This window comes from Homo sapiens, chromosome 2 (assembly GCF_000001405.40).
Source record: "Homo sapiens chromosome 2, GRCh38.p14 Primary Assembly".
Taxonomy (NCBI): domain Eukaryota; kingdom Metazoa; phylum Chordata; class Mammalia; order Primates; family Hominidae; genus Homo; species Homo sapiens.
Window position 1 is genome coordinate 127,750,179 of NC_000002.12, and position 17,525 is coordinate 127,767,703.

At 37.8% G+C, this 17,525-nt stretch overlaps 1 protein-coding gene across 6 annotated transcripts in view; it reads right to left on the reverse strand.

Annotated features, from left to right (window-relative positions):
- The window catches only part of WDR33 (WD repeat domain 33), a 110,145-nt gene that overhangs the window by 49,152 nt on the left and 43,468 nt on the right, over window positions 1-17,525 (reverse strand). For 4 of the 6 annotated variants that reach the window (XM_005263697.4, NM_018383.5, XM_011511436.2 and 1 more), the window contains exons 5-7: window positions 14,996-15,091; window positions 14,650-14,801; window positions 12,884-12,981 (exon numbers count right to left, since the gene is read on the reverse strand). In XM_005263697.4, the coding sequence (XP_005263754.1) occupies window positions 12,884-12,981; window positions 14,650-14,801; window positions 14,996-15,091 (346 nt within the window). Of the gene's footprint in view, window positions 1-4,960; window positions 5,328-12,325; window positions 14,802-14,995; window positions 15,092-17,525 lie in introns of those variants that run through there. The other 2 variants (XM_017004436.3, NM_001006622.3) reach the window with 2 other exon arrangements.

Genomic DNA, 17,525 nt, shown 5'->3' on the forward strand with positions numbered 1-17,525 from the left:
CACACCCAGTTAACTTTTTGTATTTGTTTTGTACAAATGGGGTTTTGCCATGTTGCCAAGGCTGGTCTCAAACTCCTGGGCTCAAGTGATCTGCCTGCCTTGGCCTCCCAAAGTGCTGGGATTACTGGCATGAGCCACCGCACCCAGCTGAGAACAGACTTTTTTTGAGTCAAAAATATAAGGGAAGGCCAGGCACAGTAGCTCACACCAGTAATCCCAGCACTTTGGGAGACTGAGGCAGATGAATCACTTGAGGTTAGGAGCTCGAGACCAGCCTGGGCAACATGGTGAAACCCCATCGCTACTTAAAATACAAAAATTAGCCAGGCATGGTGGCACGTGCCTATAATCCCAGCTACCCGAGAGGCTGAGGCACTTGAGAATTGTTTGAACCCGAGAGGCGGAAGTTGCAGTGAGTCGAGATTGTAATCATTGCACTCCAGCCTGGGCAACAAGAGTGAAACTCCATCTTAAAAAAAAAAAAAAAAAAAAAAAAAAAATATATATATATATATATATATATATATATATATATGTATGTATGCATACATATATATGTATGCATACATATATATGTATACATACATATATATACACATATATATACACACATATGGAAAAAACTATCTTTAAAACAGCTAATTTTATTTCTTTCAGAGGTTAAAATGTAAAAATAAATAAAACAGCTAATTCAAAAACTGAAGGTATTTTACAGTAATTGATTTAATGATTCACCTGCTAGAATTTAAAAAACTACACAAAATGTCTAGTGAATACTCTTGATAAATTTTTGTTTTAATAAACATTTCCACCCAGAAGACCCTTGGGAACTTACATTTGCATGGCACATTAAAACCTAAAAACTGTAAAACTAAAAATGTTCTAAAAAATCAGATTGATGGCAAGGCACGGTGGCTCATGCCTATAATCTCAGTACTTTGGAAGGCAGAGGCGGGAGGATCACTTGAGCCCAGGAGTTCAAGACCAGCCTAGGCAACATGGTGAAACCCTATCTCTACTAAAAATACAAAAGTTAGCCACACATGGTGGCATGCACCTGTAGCCCCAGCTTCTCAGGAGGCTGACGTGGGAGGATCACTTGAGCCTGGCAGGTGGAGGCTGCGGTAAGCCAAGATCATGCCACTGCACTCCAGCCTGAGTGACAGAGCAAGACCTTATCTCAAAATAATAATAATAATAATAATAATAATAATAATAATAATATTGATATTTAGAGTGAAGATGCTCTATTTAAAAAAAAAAAAAAACAGGTTGGGCAGGAGGATGGCTTAGGGCCAGGAGTTTGAGGTTATGGTGAGCTATGATCATGCCAGTGTACTCCAACCTGGGCAACAGAGCGAAATCCTGTCTCTGAAAAATAATAATAAATTTTAAAATCAGAATACACTTAAAAAAGATACAAATGGAATAATTTGCATAGATTTCAGGAAATGAAATGATCTGATTTAACTATTGCAAAAAAATTTTTTTAATATTACCACCACCAAAGTTTTGAAGTATTTAATATTCAGGTTCTACAGAAAGAACATTAAAACTGAGTGCTGTACTATACGACCTCAAGAAAGGAGCAGGATTTTAGTTCAGAAATCACTAAACTTAAAATGCTCTTTTTATTCCAGATGCCACCTCTCTGATCTTAGAGTCACTCAATCAGACCCACATCTGCTATGTCACAGGTAAGGTTTCGGCTCCTACCCTCCAACAAACTACACGGAAGACTCTGAGGACGCAGTAAGTCCCCAAAGTCAAGTCCCCAAAGTCAGCTAGTCCGTTTGGTCAAACTGACAAGTTTCACGGGGTGGACGCAGAGGGTAACAAGGAGAGTCCAAACAAGACATTAGATTTCTATATTTGAATCTTGTCTACTGCAACAAAAATATATGTATAGTACATTTGCCCCAAGATTCCTACCTTACTGCTGACACATTACTCATCCAAGATGGCAAAAAGAAATAACATTTTACCAGAGCTATCACTTGTTCATCCAACTTCCTTATCACTAAATGGAGTTAGGGATTAATTCTTGTGCTTAAGGTTGGTCAGCAGGATAAAACCTGTTCTTACCCCCCAAAAAACTAAATGCTGTCCTGATGAAACAGTCTAGGCACCGGCCGGGCGCGGTGGCTCACGCCTGTAATCCCAGCACTTTGGGAGGCCGAGGCGGGTGGATCATGAGGTCAGGAGATCGAGACCATCCTGGCTAACAAGGTGAAACCCCGTCTCTACTAAAAATACAAAAAATTAGCCGGGCGCGGTGGCGGGCGCCTGTAGTCCCAGCTACTCGGGAGGCTGAGGCAGGAGAATGGCGTGAACCCGGGAAGCGGAGCTTGCAGTGAGCCGAGATTGCGCCACTGCAGTCCGCAGTCCGGCCTGGGCGACAGAGCGAGACTCCGTCTCAAAAAAAAAAAAAAAAAAAAAAAAGAAACAGTCTAGGCACCAATGACAGCAGCCTGCTGCTATGAGCTGTGAAGACTACTCACTGTCAATGTAAAACAGCATTCCTGGTTGATATGGTATTTCATCAATCCACAAAACATTTCTGAAGAAATAAGATAACTAGGAAAATGTTGGACATGGTGCTAAAGGGAAGAGGTCATGTCTTCTAAATTTTTATCAGCAAAAGAACCAATGATAGCACATTGGCCACAGCGTGTCATCATTAATTATCTGATGCATCTAACAACTAAGATAAACTATTTAAATCCACTTATAAGACTTTATTTATTTATTTATTTATTTATGAGATGGAGTTTTGCTCTTGTTGCCCAGGCTGGAATGCAATGGCACACTGTCGGTTCATTGCAACCTCCTCTGCCTCCTGGGTTCAAGCAATTCTCTTGCCTCAGCCTCCCGAGAAGCTGGGATTACAGGCATGTGCCACCACGCCCAGCTAATTTTTGTATTTTTAGTAGAGACGGGGTTTCACCATGTTGGCCAGGCTGGTCTCAAATGCCTGACCTCAAGTGATCCACCTGCCTTGGCCTCCCAAAGTGCTGGGATTACAGGCATGAGCCACCACGCATAGCCCTTTTAAAGGACTTCAAAAAGACCAATTCTAAGTTCATATCTGTTGAATTTTTTACATCTAAAAACACTAAAAAATCATGACAGCTTTGTTTAAACAAGTAGTCATATTTATAGATTGCTTATAAATATAAAAGCCTATATATACTACTGTCATAACAGTGGCTGAAAAATATTCAAATGAGAAAAGTTCTGAAATAACCACTTTTATCCTAAAATAGTCCAGAGATTTGGAAGCAGGCTCTGAAATTCACTTTGGAAATGACATATCAATGAGTTCAACACCTCACTTCACAGATGAGGACACAAAATATTGTAACTTGCCCCAGTGTCACATGGCTGCTAAGAGCTGAAACTGTGACTAACATTCAGCTTCTAGAGTTTGTGATTGTAATCATATGCAATAGTGTCTCTTTATATACTTCCAAAGAATTGGTTTTAGTAGCAGGAGACTAGCAGAAGAAACTGATCAGAAAAAGTAATAAAACAGCATTTTTAAAAGAATATGGAGGCATCTAGATTCAGGACTGCATCTATTTTTTAAAAAAGAATATAGACTCAAATCAACGAAAGGTAATTAAGACAACTCTACACAGAGGAAGGTGAGATAAAAACCACAAAAATCACAAAATGTAAAGAACAGTAAAGAAAAAGAAAAATAACTTAATGAAAGTATCTTTCAAAGCCTAACCTACCTAGTAAAAAGCTAAGGTGGGAAAGGGGCATGAAGAAATCTTTGACTCCTAAAATTATTCCATTTCTTATCTAGAGGTAGTTAGGCAAGTGTATAAATACAAAAAATCCATTATACTGTACATTTAAGACTTGTGCATTTACTGTATATATACAATTAAAAAGTATAAATACTTCAAAAAATGTTTGGAAGATTAGGTGAATTTTGAGACTCCATTCACTACTTCAAACAATAGTGTTAATAACATTATCCAATGTCTCAACAGAGGTTGGCAACATCTCCTTATGGGATACAACCTAGTCACTTAACTCTTTGCAATGCTTGACTTTCAGACTTTAGGTCTGCCCTGAAACATAAAACTAACGTTAATATTATCAAATCCGACCATCCGTCTGAAAAGGAAATGCTTTCTATAACTTCCCTGACAGGTAGGTGGCAAGCTAAATGTGGCAAAATTTCATGAAAGGGAAGCCCAATAGCTCACACAACAGTCCGTTCTCTTTTCTTTTATGGGGGAAAAACACAGGGTCTCCCTCTGTCATTCAGGAAGGAGTGCAGTGGCGCGATCTCGGCTCACTGCAGCCTTGGATTCCTAGACTCGAGCAATCCTCCTGCCTCAGCCTTCTGAGTAGCTGGGACTACATGTGCATGCCACCATGTTTTTCATTTTTTTTTTTTTTTTTTTTGTAGAAACAGGGTCTCACTTTGTTGCCCAGGCTGGTCTCAAACTCCTGGCTTTAAGCAACCTTCCCACCTTAGCCTCCCAAAGAGCTGGGATTACAGGTGTGAGCTATTGTGCCTGGCCACATTCTCTTATCTTTCCACAGGAAAAAAATTTCCATAATGAAATCCAAATATGATGTCCTATATCCTTCTCATCCCCTATATTCTAGGCCTATATAAAATAAATCAAATCCTACTTCCAAAAAATATTCTTTAAATATCTGAAAATAACTATAATCGCAAGTCTCTTTTAACCCAGCTAAATACTAATCTTCCCTTTACTGTTCTTCATGATTTCCAGACCATTCTCCCTTCTAGTAAACTCCCCTCAAAAATGAAGCTCCACCACTCTGAACATCTATTAAGTATTCTATTAAGTGGGGAAGAACATGACACCTCAAGAGTTCACACCAATCATCTAAAACACAGGATTGTTTTTATGAACTCTAATTAACCAATCTAACAAACCCTGGAATTGAGGTTGGTAAGCAAAGTACAGAACTTCCTATTTATCTTTATTTAACTTTTACAGTTTAAGTTTCTGTTAAGTTTAACATCAAAATATCTTCTCAAATCCTGAAATCTAGTGAACTTCTACTTGTCGTTTTGAATCAGCTATAAATTACAAAGCAAGACCATCTACATTAATATAAACTGTTAAATAGGACGGGGCCAAGTAAAGAATCTTACAGCACTCTCTGCATACTTGTCTCACAGGTAACAAACATCCAGGGAAAACTTACTTTGGGAATGACCTTTCACTCATGCAGCTAAAAAGCCATGTTCCTCTACCATGATCCACAAATTAGCTCAAAAGGTTGCCTGTATTGTTCTGGCTACAATGTCCTTGACCACTCCAGCAATCCTATTAAAAAAATAGGATTATTTTAGCATGATTTATTCCAGACCACTATTTCTCAATGGAAGCAGTAAGGCTTTCTCCAAGCCTGCGCGTGCATGCATGTGTGCGTACCTGTGGTGGTGCCTTTTTTAGAAATTTGTGTGTGGCAGTCATCAATGAAGTTCACTTCAGAAGTGTACAGACTACAAATTATTTATTCAAAAAAGCAGTTATCTGGCCTGATGGGATTAAGAACTACTAATCTAATCTTTGATGACTCATGGCATCACAAACTACTTTTGTTTAATAACATTAAAAATGTCTGTTGGAGACAAAATATTGAGCTTCCTGACAAGGAGTTCCTAAAACCCACCCTTTTACTCCTTGTTTCTATATTCATGCTGACTTCCTTCAGTATTTTCTAATGTTTCAATATGGTAGAATACTTACAATTTCCATTCGTGACAAAACAAACAGAAATCCTCACTCTGGTCTCTTTACAACTAAAGAGATCATAGGTGCTTCTCAGAAATTGCTGAGCTACAGTTTTCTGGTATACCATAAAAAAGTGGCCAGGCACAGTGGCTCACACCCGTAATGACTACACTTTGGGAGGCTGAGACGAGCGGATCACTTGAGGTCAGGAGTTCGAGACCAGCCTGGCTGACATGGTGAAACGCTGTCTCCACTAAAAATACAAAAATTAGCTGGGTCTTGTGGTGCATGCCTGTAGTCCCAGCTACTCAGGAGGCTGAGACACGAGAATTGCTTGAACCCGGGAGGCAGAGGTTGCAATGAGCTGAGATCATGCCACTGCACTCCAGCCTGGGCAACAGAGCAAGATTCCAACTCCAAAAAAAAAAAAAAAGGTAATTAAAGGGGAAAAAAATTACTATGAAAAAAAAAAACCAAACCCAGTATTTGTTCTGATACTCCCCTCGTTGACAAAACTTACTATATTATACCACATTTTAATCATATACTTTATTAAAGAATCTACTCACCGAAAATGAAAAAGCCAAGACATATTATACATTTATCTAACTGTATCAGCCTTTCCAAAGCTCAGAATTTTAACTTTAAAAACTATCAAAGACCTGATAAGCTGAGATTTATAAAAGAACAGGGTAACTAATTCATCAGAACAAAAATTTAAACCTCACTCAAAACGAACTGAAGCATACAATTATAGAACAGACAACTACAGAATAAAATTTATATCTTTAATAAATGTAAAGATAGAAAGGCTCTTTCTGAAAACTGACTGCCTAAATTAATAATCATAGGGATTTGTCACTGCTAAGAAATCTGAATCTTCGGCCAGGCATGGTGGCTTATGCCTGTAATCCCAGCACTTTGGGAGGCCAAGTTGGGCAGATCACCTGAGATCAAGAGACCAGCCTGTCCAACATGGTGAAAGCCCATCTCTACCAAAAAATTAAAAAATTAGCCAGGTGTGGTGGTGCATGCCTGTAGTCCCAGCTACCAGGGAGGCTGAGGTGGGAGAATTGCTTGAACCTGCAAGGTGGAGGTTGCAGTGGGCCAGTATTGCGCCACTGCACTCCAGCCTGGGTGACAGACCAAGAACCTGTCTCCAAAAAAAAAAAAAAAAAGTCGAATCTTCACATACAAAAGAGTGCCTGGGAGTGGCTCTTGACTCTTAATTAAGACACTAAATATACTAGCAGCAGCATGCAACTCTGCACCCCAAGAAAGGTACAGATTTATATTCAATAAGTTTTGGTCATATTATGTACAATATTTTAAATAAGCATAGCGATTAAAAGAACAAAGCCCATCATAAAAATTTTAAACAATTCCTGTAAAAATATGAACACATCACATAAAATGAATATTTCAGAACCCTACTACACAAACTTGTTTAAATAATGTGCTTTAGATGTTAAATATCAAGTCTTTTTCTCTCTTATGATATAATTATTTACATAATAAGACAACCTACCATGATCTAGTCTTTTCAGGATAGCACAGAGCCTTAAAGAAACGCTTCCTCAAAGTAAGAAACTGGATACAGAATACAGGCAGCTAGCTGTAGTAAAATGGGTCCAGGTGGTTGTTTGGATATATGCTTGAAGTGCTTTTAATACTAAAAGCATGCTAAGTCAACGTAAGGAATTATTCTGCTATGGGCTACTTTAAAGGAAGCTGGGTTTTTTGTCTTGGGGGAAAACAGAATTCTGGGGAGTGTTTTGTAAAACCTTATAGAAATAAATTAGGTTTATTATCATAAACTACATGGTTTACCAATTTTACTTTAATAATAAAGTTATTTCCAATAAAAAGCACCCATTTTTTGGAACATTCAAACTTTGTAAATGTGTCTTCACACAGTTCAAAAACACACTGCCAAACGAAAAGATCTTTGTGTAGACAGCAGTCATCTCATGTAGTATAAACCACCAATGCAATCATGAAGGGGCACACAGAGACTTAACAAAAGTATTAGTAATCATATTACTTTTCTTAATCTGTGTGGTGAGTACGTAAGTGTTCATTTCCATTCCATTAGTATTATATTTGAAAACTAAAAACTCCTGCGTAAGTCTCAATATAACTGCTTATGTCCATGTTCTATTTAATACACCTTATAACCCATGTGTAGTGTGAACCAATAGCTGTGTTTTAATATTTTTGCTAAATATATTATACATTCACTATAACCTCTACAGTTTTAAAGAATGTTAAAATGAACCTGAATACCTAGTTTCCTCTACCCACACCCTTCTCCCCCATACCAATCTTTACTTCACAATTCTGTCAATTACAGCTTAGGAAGGTACTGTTGCTGACATTCCTTTTAAAACATAAAAGAGGCAGTTTAACATAGTAGTTAACAGCATGAATATTGGAGCCAAACAGGCTTCAAATCCTAGCCTCAACTCTTATAAATTATATGACCTCTGACAGGTTTATTTAACTTTTTGGTGCCTTGGTTTACTCATTTGTAAAATGGGAAACAATCAGTACTGCTCTGGTAGGGCTACTGGGAAGATTAAATAAAGTACTTACAATATGCCTTACAATTACAGTAAGTATAATGTGTCAGCTGTTATTATTGTTAAAATCAAGAAGGTAAAACAAAATTAAAGCACGCTGAAACTTGTTAACTGATTCTCTTTATGAGTATAATGGGGAGGGGTGAGGCTGTGGGAGAAAATTAAAAATAAAATATGATGTCTCTCAGTAAAATTTATTTCCATATCCTTACTGATTCCGTATTTTCAACCTGCCAGTAGTTAAGTGATCTGCTTCCATATGCCCATAAAACTACACTTCTAGCACTCACACAGCTCTCCCCCCTTATTATCAAACGTCTTTAACGATTGTGAAAATATCTCACCTTCCTATTAAACATGAGGATAGGGGTTATACCTTATAAAACAGTCTCCTAGGTAACTTGCATATAGGATACTCGTTGTTTATTAAATAGATTTTAATGGTACTATTTCAGTTGGAGTCAAATGTGTAAACATAACCTATAGGCTCATTTAGTCTCGCATATTTCTCGTGTGTACAATGTTATTTTATCATAAGCTTGGGAAGCTAGGGGAAATTTCTTTTTAATTTTTAATAAAAACTTTAAAAAATGTTATTTTAATCCCAGTCCATAAGTTGCCATAATTAATACTAGAAAAAAAGGAGAAATGGAACTATGGTGACTTACACATCCTTTGTAATGGTGGACATATACATAGTGCTTCTCAATGCTGCAGTATATTCTATTTCATAAATGTCTGTTTTTTCAACTTATGTACCAACAAGGACTTTTGTATAACAAATCCACCGTCAACAGATCTATGCTCATTTTACACCTTAGAAAATACTGAGTATTTTTCTCTTCTGTAACTTCAACCTTTTCTAAGCGTAAGAACAATCTCAGAAATACTATAATAAAAAGCAACTACAGGCCAGGCACGGTGGCTCACGCCTGTAATACCAGCACTTTGGGAGGCCGAGGAGCATGGATCACGTGAGGTCAGCAGCTCTAGACCAGCCTGGTCAACATGGTGAAACTCTGTCTCTACTAAAAATACAAAAATTAGCCGGGCATGGTGACACATGCCTGTAATCCCAGTTACTCAGGAGGCTGAGGCAGGAGACTCACTTGAACCCGAGAGGCGGAGGTTGCAGTGAGCCAAGATCACACCACTGCACTCCAGCCTGGGCAACAGAGGAAGACTTGGTCTCAAAAATATTTTTAAAATAGTAAGAAAATAAAAATAAAAAGCAACTATAAATTCTGCATTCAAAAGTACAAGTCCAGTGTGGTGGCTCACAGTATAATCCTAGCACTTTGGGAGGCCGAGGCAGGAGGATCCCTTGAGCCCAGGAGTTTGAGACCAGCCTGGGCAACACAGGGAGAGCCTGACTCTATTTTTTTAAAAAAAATTAAAAATTAAGAAGTATAGTATCATGACTTCTGTTATGTACAGGAACACTGTATGCTTAAAGCTGAAAAACTCAGTCAAGAAGACCCAACAGCTGTCTCTTCATACTTAACGGCCTGCCATGTGAATTAAGTGCAGACTTAATTTTTGGTATTCCCGTAGGCAAGACAAGTTGTAAGGAAGCAGGTTTCTGATATAAAGAAAGAATTTCCTGAAAATTAGAGCTATTTAAGGAATTCATGTGAAGTAAGGAATATTACATCACTGAGAATGTCTGTGAGTAGAAGGCTAGTTTTTAGGAATGTTGTAGAAAAGTATTTGATAAGAGTTTGACTGTATGATCACAAACTCCCCTTAAATAGAATTATTTTGGATTTTCTGAATACTTAACTCCAAAAGTAATGACTTGATACACAACACTAACAATGCAAAGGAGTATGCTTATCTACCTGATGCCATAGAGTCTATGCGTGTTACATGAACATCATCCTTAATAAAGGGCAACTGATATTTTAGAGGTTAGACTATCCTGTCCCTATTTGTTTGACTTTGTGATCCAGTTTTCTCTGAGTAGAGCTAAGTAAGTTCACTTCACATTTTATTTAAAGAACTCTCATCATCCCTTGAAACCACTACCAATCCACCAACCCTCTGACCCCACAACTCACTAAGGGGAGGATGGGAAGCTCTTAGATGCATAAAATTTGGAAAAGTGAGAAATGACAGAAAACAGACAACTGGAATCTAATAACTCTTCTCCTACAGCAGACCTGCTATCAGAATTACTGCTTGGGTGGTATAATCAACTTAATTCAATATATTCATGTCTCATATACTGAAGTGTCTTGGGGTACTAAAAATATTGTTACTGTAAAGTAAGTAGAATTTTTTTAAAAAGAATCAAAAGATATTAAAAAGCTAGAATGTAAACCCTAAAAGTACCTGAAGGCTCATTATACCTTTGTACATGTTTGAAATTTCCATAGTAAAAACCTAAAATAAAGAGACCTCATACAAAAATCTCAACTCTCATTTATGATTCAGCATCTACTTAACTTCATCTAAATTTACCTGGACTTATCTGAAAATACTTAACTGCTAGTTAATATCCCCTGCACACTCTAAATTTCAAAGGAAAGTTCTTAATGAAACACATTCATTACCAAAATTGAATAATGCTTCACTGGATCATGGGACTCAAAAACGTTATCACATAGATTTCCTTCTTTTTAAAATCCAAGCAGCAAAGTGGTTTTAGATCAGACTTCAGTTAATACAGTCCACTGTAAAATTAGTTGTTTTAATACTCTAGAATTACTTTTTTTTTTGAGACAGAGTCTCACTCTGTTGCCCAGGCTGAAGTGCAGTGGTGCAAACTCCGCTCACTGCAAGCTCCGCCACCTGGATTCACACCAGTCTCCTGCCTCAGCCTCCCGAGTAGCTGGGACTACAGGCGCCCACCACGACACCCAGCTAATTTTTTGTATTTTCAGTAGAGACAGAGTTTCATGGTGTTAGCCAGGATGGTCTTGATCTCCTGACCTCGTGATCCGCCCACCTCGGCCTCCCAAAGTGCTGGGATTACAGGCGTGAGCCACCGCGCCCAGCTACTCTAGAATTACTTTTAATAAATAAAATTATTTCATTTTCTCTAAGTTTCCAGGATTTTAAAAACTTAGAAAATGTTTCACTTATTTCTGTTTAACAGCCAAGACTAATAGTGAGGAAAGATTCAACATAAGTGTGGCATTAGGCTGGGAGTCAAATGATAAGATTCTAGTCCTGGCTCTGAACCTATTTTGCTTTGAACATGTCACTTCCACCCTTGGCATCATGGAGCTCATCCATAAAATAACTCAGACATGATCATCTCAAAGTCTCTGTCTCGTTCTGAAGTTATACAATATTATGACCTTTATAGTGAGTAAACTCCCTCAATGTGACAGGTTCCCTATTCTTACAAAAGCTACAGTCATACAGTACTGTGGATAAACCCAAACAAAATGTGCCAAGTCAGGAGTGTTGAAGCAAATGTGATGGAAGATACTGGCTTGAAATATGGGCTGAAATACACATTAAAGTATCTCAAGAGTCTTTCCTGTCTACAAAACATCAACATTATATGCTACAGCTAAAGCTCTGAAAAACTGTGAGAAACTTAACGATTCAACCAAGACAACGATCTCTGCTGACTCTTGAACATAAGGGAAAAGCTCTGAATAATAATTTGACACCCAACACCCGTAGCACCCATCCTCCCACCCTGTATTTATGTGTCAGAGAAAGATGGTACTTTTGTGGCATCCTGGAATCAAGGGTACGGAGTAGAAGGTACTGTTTGTTAAACAGTACATTCAAAAGGTTCAAATTAAGCACTGGAGAAAACTACCTTCCTACTTAATAAACTAACAGGATCCAGTTAGAAGTGTCTTTGTTGTGATGTTTGTATTGCATATATACAACAAATTCCTTAACTCTACCACCACTGAATTCACGTAACTCACATTGATGTACTGTTAATATTTCAACAGTCCCACTTTATAAAGTCCAATATTCTAATGCATAATCTAAAATAATCGAAGTGAGAATATGGACTTCAGTTACGGAATGAAGTAATTTCATAGAGGTTTATTAATTATAAAATCAACAAAAGTAAACAAGCAGCAATGCCACCCGAACTTAGTAACAAGCCGGCCATGTAGTACAAATGTGGTGTACTGAAAAACCAACTGCTTTCAAAAATAGTAACACTAAGAAGTGTAGCTTTGATACCTCTATCTTGTCGGTTAATTCATATTGTAAAAGGACTGCCAGGAGAATGACGGCTATCTAAATCAAACCACAGTGTCAATATGTTGGGAACAAGTACCCTGGCTACAAGGAAGGAAAAGGAATACAGCCCTAAAAGATGCATACAGATAAGCAAGTAAGGGGGAGGCACTCTTGTATTTAATTTACAGCTGAAAAATTCAAAGATAACACTGGTAGTAAAAACCTACAAAATGACTGTGAGTCAGAGAAAGTGCTGGGTTTTTTTGAAGAGCCTGAGACGGTGTGTATATGTAAAAAAAATTGAATGGAGGTGTAAGCCAGTATTGTGGTTTTGTGATGATTTAACCACAAATGTCTTCCCTATTTAAATATTCCAATCAGTACTGTTAGTACACGTACCTCGGAGAATTCTTTCCTCATGGCAACGAAGAAAGTCCCAGATTCTAACAGTGCCGTCATCAGAGCATGTAGCAAATTTATTATCCGTGGGTGAGAAACTGTTACATGAAGACACACAGCAGGGGAAAGAAGTCAGCATTTAACAGATAATCTGTGCTTCTCAGACAGGGAAAAATAAAAACACTGTGCTGCATTATAAACAGGAGAGGGAAGAATCCAGTGAAGAAGCCCTTAAAGTGAATGTCGTCAGCTAACATAGGCATCTCATCAAAAGAAGACTTCAACAGAGCAGTTGTTTGAGTTTTCAATCATCAGTATTCTGAGAACTTCAAGTGTGTATTATTAGTGCTAATGCTATCCATGTTCCTTCTCTATTTTCTATGATACGAGGAAATCACATGAAGCTGCCTTAAGTGGTGAAAATAAATGGATTCTATTTTTGCAGTATTCCTGCAGTCTTTTAAATCACACACGAATACTGCTCCCAAAATTATCATCAGCTTCTGCCTCAGACACTTCATGAAATAAGCTGAAACAATGTGGGCTGTCTATTAAAAGACTGATTGCTAAACATCCCTACATACAATGTTTCTCATCCATTTCAAAGGTCTGTAGAAAAGTTTCACATCTTCCTGGCAAGCTATTCCATGAATGTTGCACCTTTGAGGAAAACTTTAAAATAAGGACATTCAGACTTGTGTGTAAAGCCAAAGAATCTGCTGCAAGAAGGAGTCAGTTTTTCCCAGCAGTGAAAGATCATCAAGTTTCTCAACTAACTCTAAAAACTCCCTTGAACTTTGGAATCCTATGAAGGACCAGCTGTGTAAACTCAATGTATGGGCATGACACTAAGGCAAAATCTACAAAGCAGAAGCATGTTCATCCAACAATTTCTGTTAAGATTCTGAAAGTATGAACAAATGACTACAGTGGATGATGTTTCCATAAAGATGTCAACCTCCTCCCACACATGGGTGGCACAACCTTAAAGAATGCTGCTTAGCTTTATTCTGAGGCTGCAGCAATTCTTCAGGCTTGTATTTGGAACTTTTTCCCCCAGTTTTACTATACATACCTCACTGATGTGTAAAAATATACAACTCACTGAAAATATTTTAAACTCCACTTATTGTATACATTTGCATAAGTGATGTTATCAACAGTGAATCAGAAGAAAAGTCCTAGAGTCTTCTTGACAATGATCTGCTTACAGCTGCAAAGCTTGAAGAACCCATTCATTACTCCGTTAATGTTTGCCACATCCAGTTATCTGTGAGGGTTTTAGTCCTATACTTTCCTTTGGAAGTCGTGGCATAACCAAGCCAACCAGGTCTTCACTTAAGCCTTTTTCCACTTTGTGTGAATTCTGAAGTTGTTTTCTGTAGGCTTTAGATTTTATTCAGTTGCATAATTAAAGACTGAATTCTTTATTTGGAATGAAATATTCTTGTCTTACACAGTAGATAATAAAAAGGAATAACGTATACACATTATTAATCATAAATGAAAAGAGAAAACCAGTGCAAAATGCGGCAGACAGTACATCTCTAACATATTGCAAAGGCTGATACCGGGACAACACTACTTCAGAAAGGTGCCAGCAAAATGGTGAATGTGTGAAAACAAAGAAAAATATTGTGTTTATAGGGTGCAGAAAGTTTCCCAGAAACTGACAGAGCCCATGCATCTCTGCACCCAGAATACACTTAGAGAATAATTTAACCATGACAATAGGGACTACAGAAAATGGTATATTGTGTATAAACCTGGCCTCTCTAATCGCCTCCTTATGTGCCTGGAACATCTTGACGTTGTTCATGTTCGACTGCCAATATTTCACATATCCTCCGTGGTCTGCTGTCAACATCCACATGTCATTATGTGACCACGTCATGGCCCTCACTGGGCTGTCGTGAGCCTGTGAAAGCAGAAAACATTAATTAGTAAGGTGCTGCTTCAAAGAATATATGACTAAAGGCTTACAAGAGCATATAACTGACTCGAGGTAATAATTCGTCCCAATTCTAAGTTTAACAATGCCAATGAAATGACTATATCTCAAGTTCTTTACAGTACCACAGGATGATGATACCATCTGGTGATTATCATTACCTGTAATATTGTTTCAAAATTGAAAGTGAGTCCATTCCACAGGGTAAACTCCCCACTAGAAGCTCCAGTGACCAAGCGTCTTCCTTCTGGAGTCCACTAAGGGAGAAAAAAAGACAGGTTATACATCCTCCAACTTCACTAATTTTGAAAAACATATTAAAGGTATTTGTAAAACATGCAATAACTGACATTAAATAATGATACTGACTTTCACTTAAATGTAGCTCAGCTTTATCAGAAGTACTTTGTCAGAAAACAACTTAACACTGTGCAAGGAAAGCTCTAGTCCTTTGGTTTATTAGCTAAATTAAAGACAGTAAGTACATTATGAGTATACGCACCTACTCACTAAATTACACACACGTATGCATGCTAAAGACCATTTCAAAACAGAATATGCAAAGACCTCATTTCCCTAGGCTATACGATAGACTAACATAAATAAGGTGATCAGTCACCAGAACAACTCAAAGACTGAATAAAGGATATGGTGCTTACAAGTAAGAGAGGACAAATTCAGAAAGAAAAGTTACCAGTGTTTAATTAAAAAAACAAGATAATAATAAGTACCGATTTAAGGACACTGAGGCTTTCAAACTCTTCCTGCAGCTAAACATATTTAAAAAAAAAAAAAAAAGTAAGCTCTCCTCCATTCAAAGTACCAAGCAGTGATAACTCTTACGCTGATCTACTCTCAAAAAAAACCATAATAGTGCCATGACTAATTAACACTACACCAAAAGTTTTAATTCTAATGGATACACATAGATGTATATATTTTCAGGGAATGACTATGCCAATAACTTTTTTTGCACTTTTAAGTGCACCTTTTCTCTTTTTAAATTAAACCTAAAGTCCTTTATTACTTTTTGCACTTAAGGCCCTTTAAATATTTTTACATCAGTATTTTGATGTCACAATTTGCATACTAAAGGAAATCTGTGGCATATGTGCTGGTTAATTTGAAACATTCAAATTTTTTGTTTTTACTTTTTATTTTCAAGTTTCTATGATGGATCACACACTCATTTTCCTTAAAAGATGTAAATATACAAAATGGCAATACAACAATCCTATTTTCCAAAAACTCCGACAAAGTTGAAAAATACAAATACATATGTGCTTATAGAAACAGTAAGGATATATAAAATGAAGGTTATTTCTTAAATTACACAAATATATATGACAATTTGGCTTTTCATTGCTTACCTGTAAGTCACAGTTTTGATTATCAGATTAAAAGCCTCCCCTCTTTCTAGTTTCTGTTATCTGGTATGGATCCTAACCCGGTCAATACTACAGACAACCAAACTGTAGACACAGAGCCCACAGTCTTTATACCTTAATACCTTTTGATTTTGACTGTGCCTCTACTATGTGCAAATTCTTCCTCAAACCTTATAGCGTAATCCCCAAATGAGAACATTTACCCACCTTATAAGATATGGATGCTCGGATTTTATTCTTTTCAAAAAGGTTTTCCATGCTATGCTAAGAGGATATTAAAATTAGCTGCACATCATACCCCTTTAACCAAATTCCCTGATTAAAAAAAAAATTAGACTACACACTGGTTGCTTCTACTCACATAACAATGTTTCTTTTTTTTTTTTGAAACAGAGTTTCGATCTTGTCGCCCAGGCTAGAGTGCAGTGGCACAATCTAGGCTCACTGCAACCTCCACCTCCCAGGTTCAAGTGATTCCCCTGTCTCAGCCTCCTCTCTCAGGCACGTGCCACCACACCCGGCTAATTTTTGTATTTTTAGTAAACACGAGGTTTCATCATATTGGTCAGGCTGGTCTCAAACTCCCGACCGCAGGTGATCCACCCACTTCAGCCTCTCAAAGTGCTGGGATTACAGGTGTGAGTGATGTGTCTACTGCCTAAGGCCTCTCAGGCAAATAAGAGGCCTAAGACTAAATGCAGCTATTTCTATGGAGTTCAGACTGACATCTCTCTCCCAGGACTTCTTGGTTCTCCCTGCTCTCTATCATACTCCTCTGATATCAGAAGATCTGCTTATTTTCCTCATCTGCCACTAATGTTTGACACAATCGTCTTTTCTCGGTCTCATTTTTTTTCAACTGTTATTTGCTCAACTTAAGACTGTTAACCAACAAGTGCATTAGCTAGGAAATGGAATAATCGAAACACAAAGAAGAAAATGATTACATTATCATCTATGAAAATCGGGGTTATAACTAAAAATTATATTTTTTAAATTTAGTTTCAGTTTTAAAATTAGTTTCAGTTTAAGGCCGGGCACGGTGGCTCATGCCTGTAATCCCAGCACTTTGGGAGGCTGAGGTGGGCAGATCACGAGGTCAAGAGATTGAGACTATCCTGGCTAACACGGTGAAACCCCGTCTCTACTAAAAATACAAAAAAAAGTAGCCGGGCATGGTGGCAGGCGCCTGTAGTCCCAGCTACTAGGGAGGCTGAGGCAGGAGAATGGCGTGAACCCGGGGGGCGGAGCTTGCAGTGAGCCGAGATCACGCCACTGCACTCCAGCCTGGGTGACCGAGTGA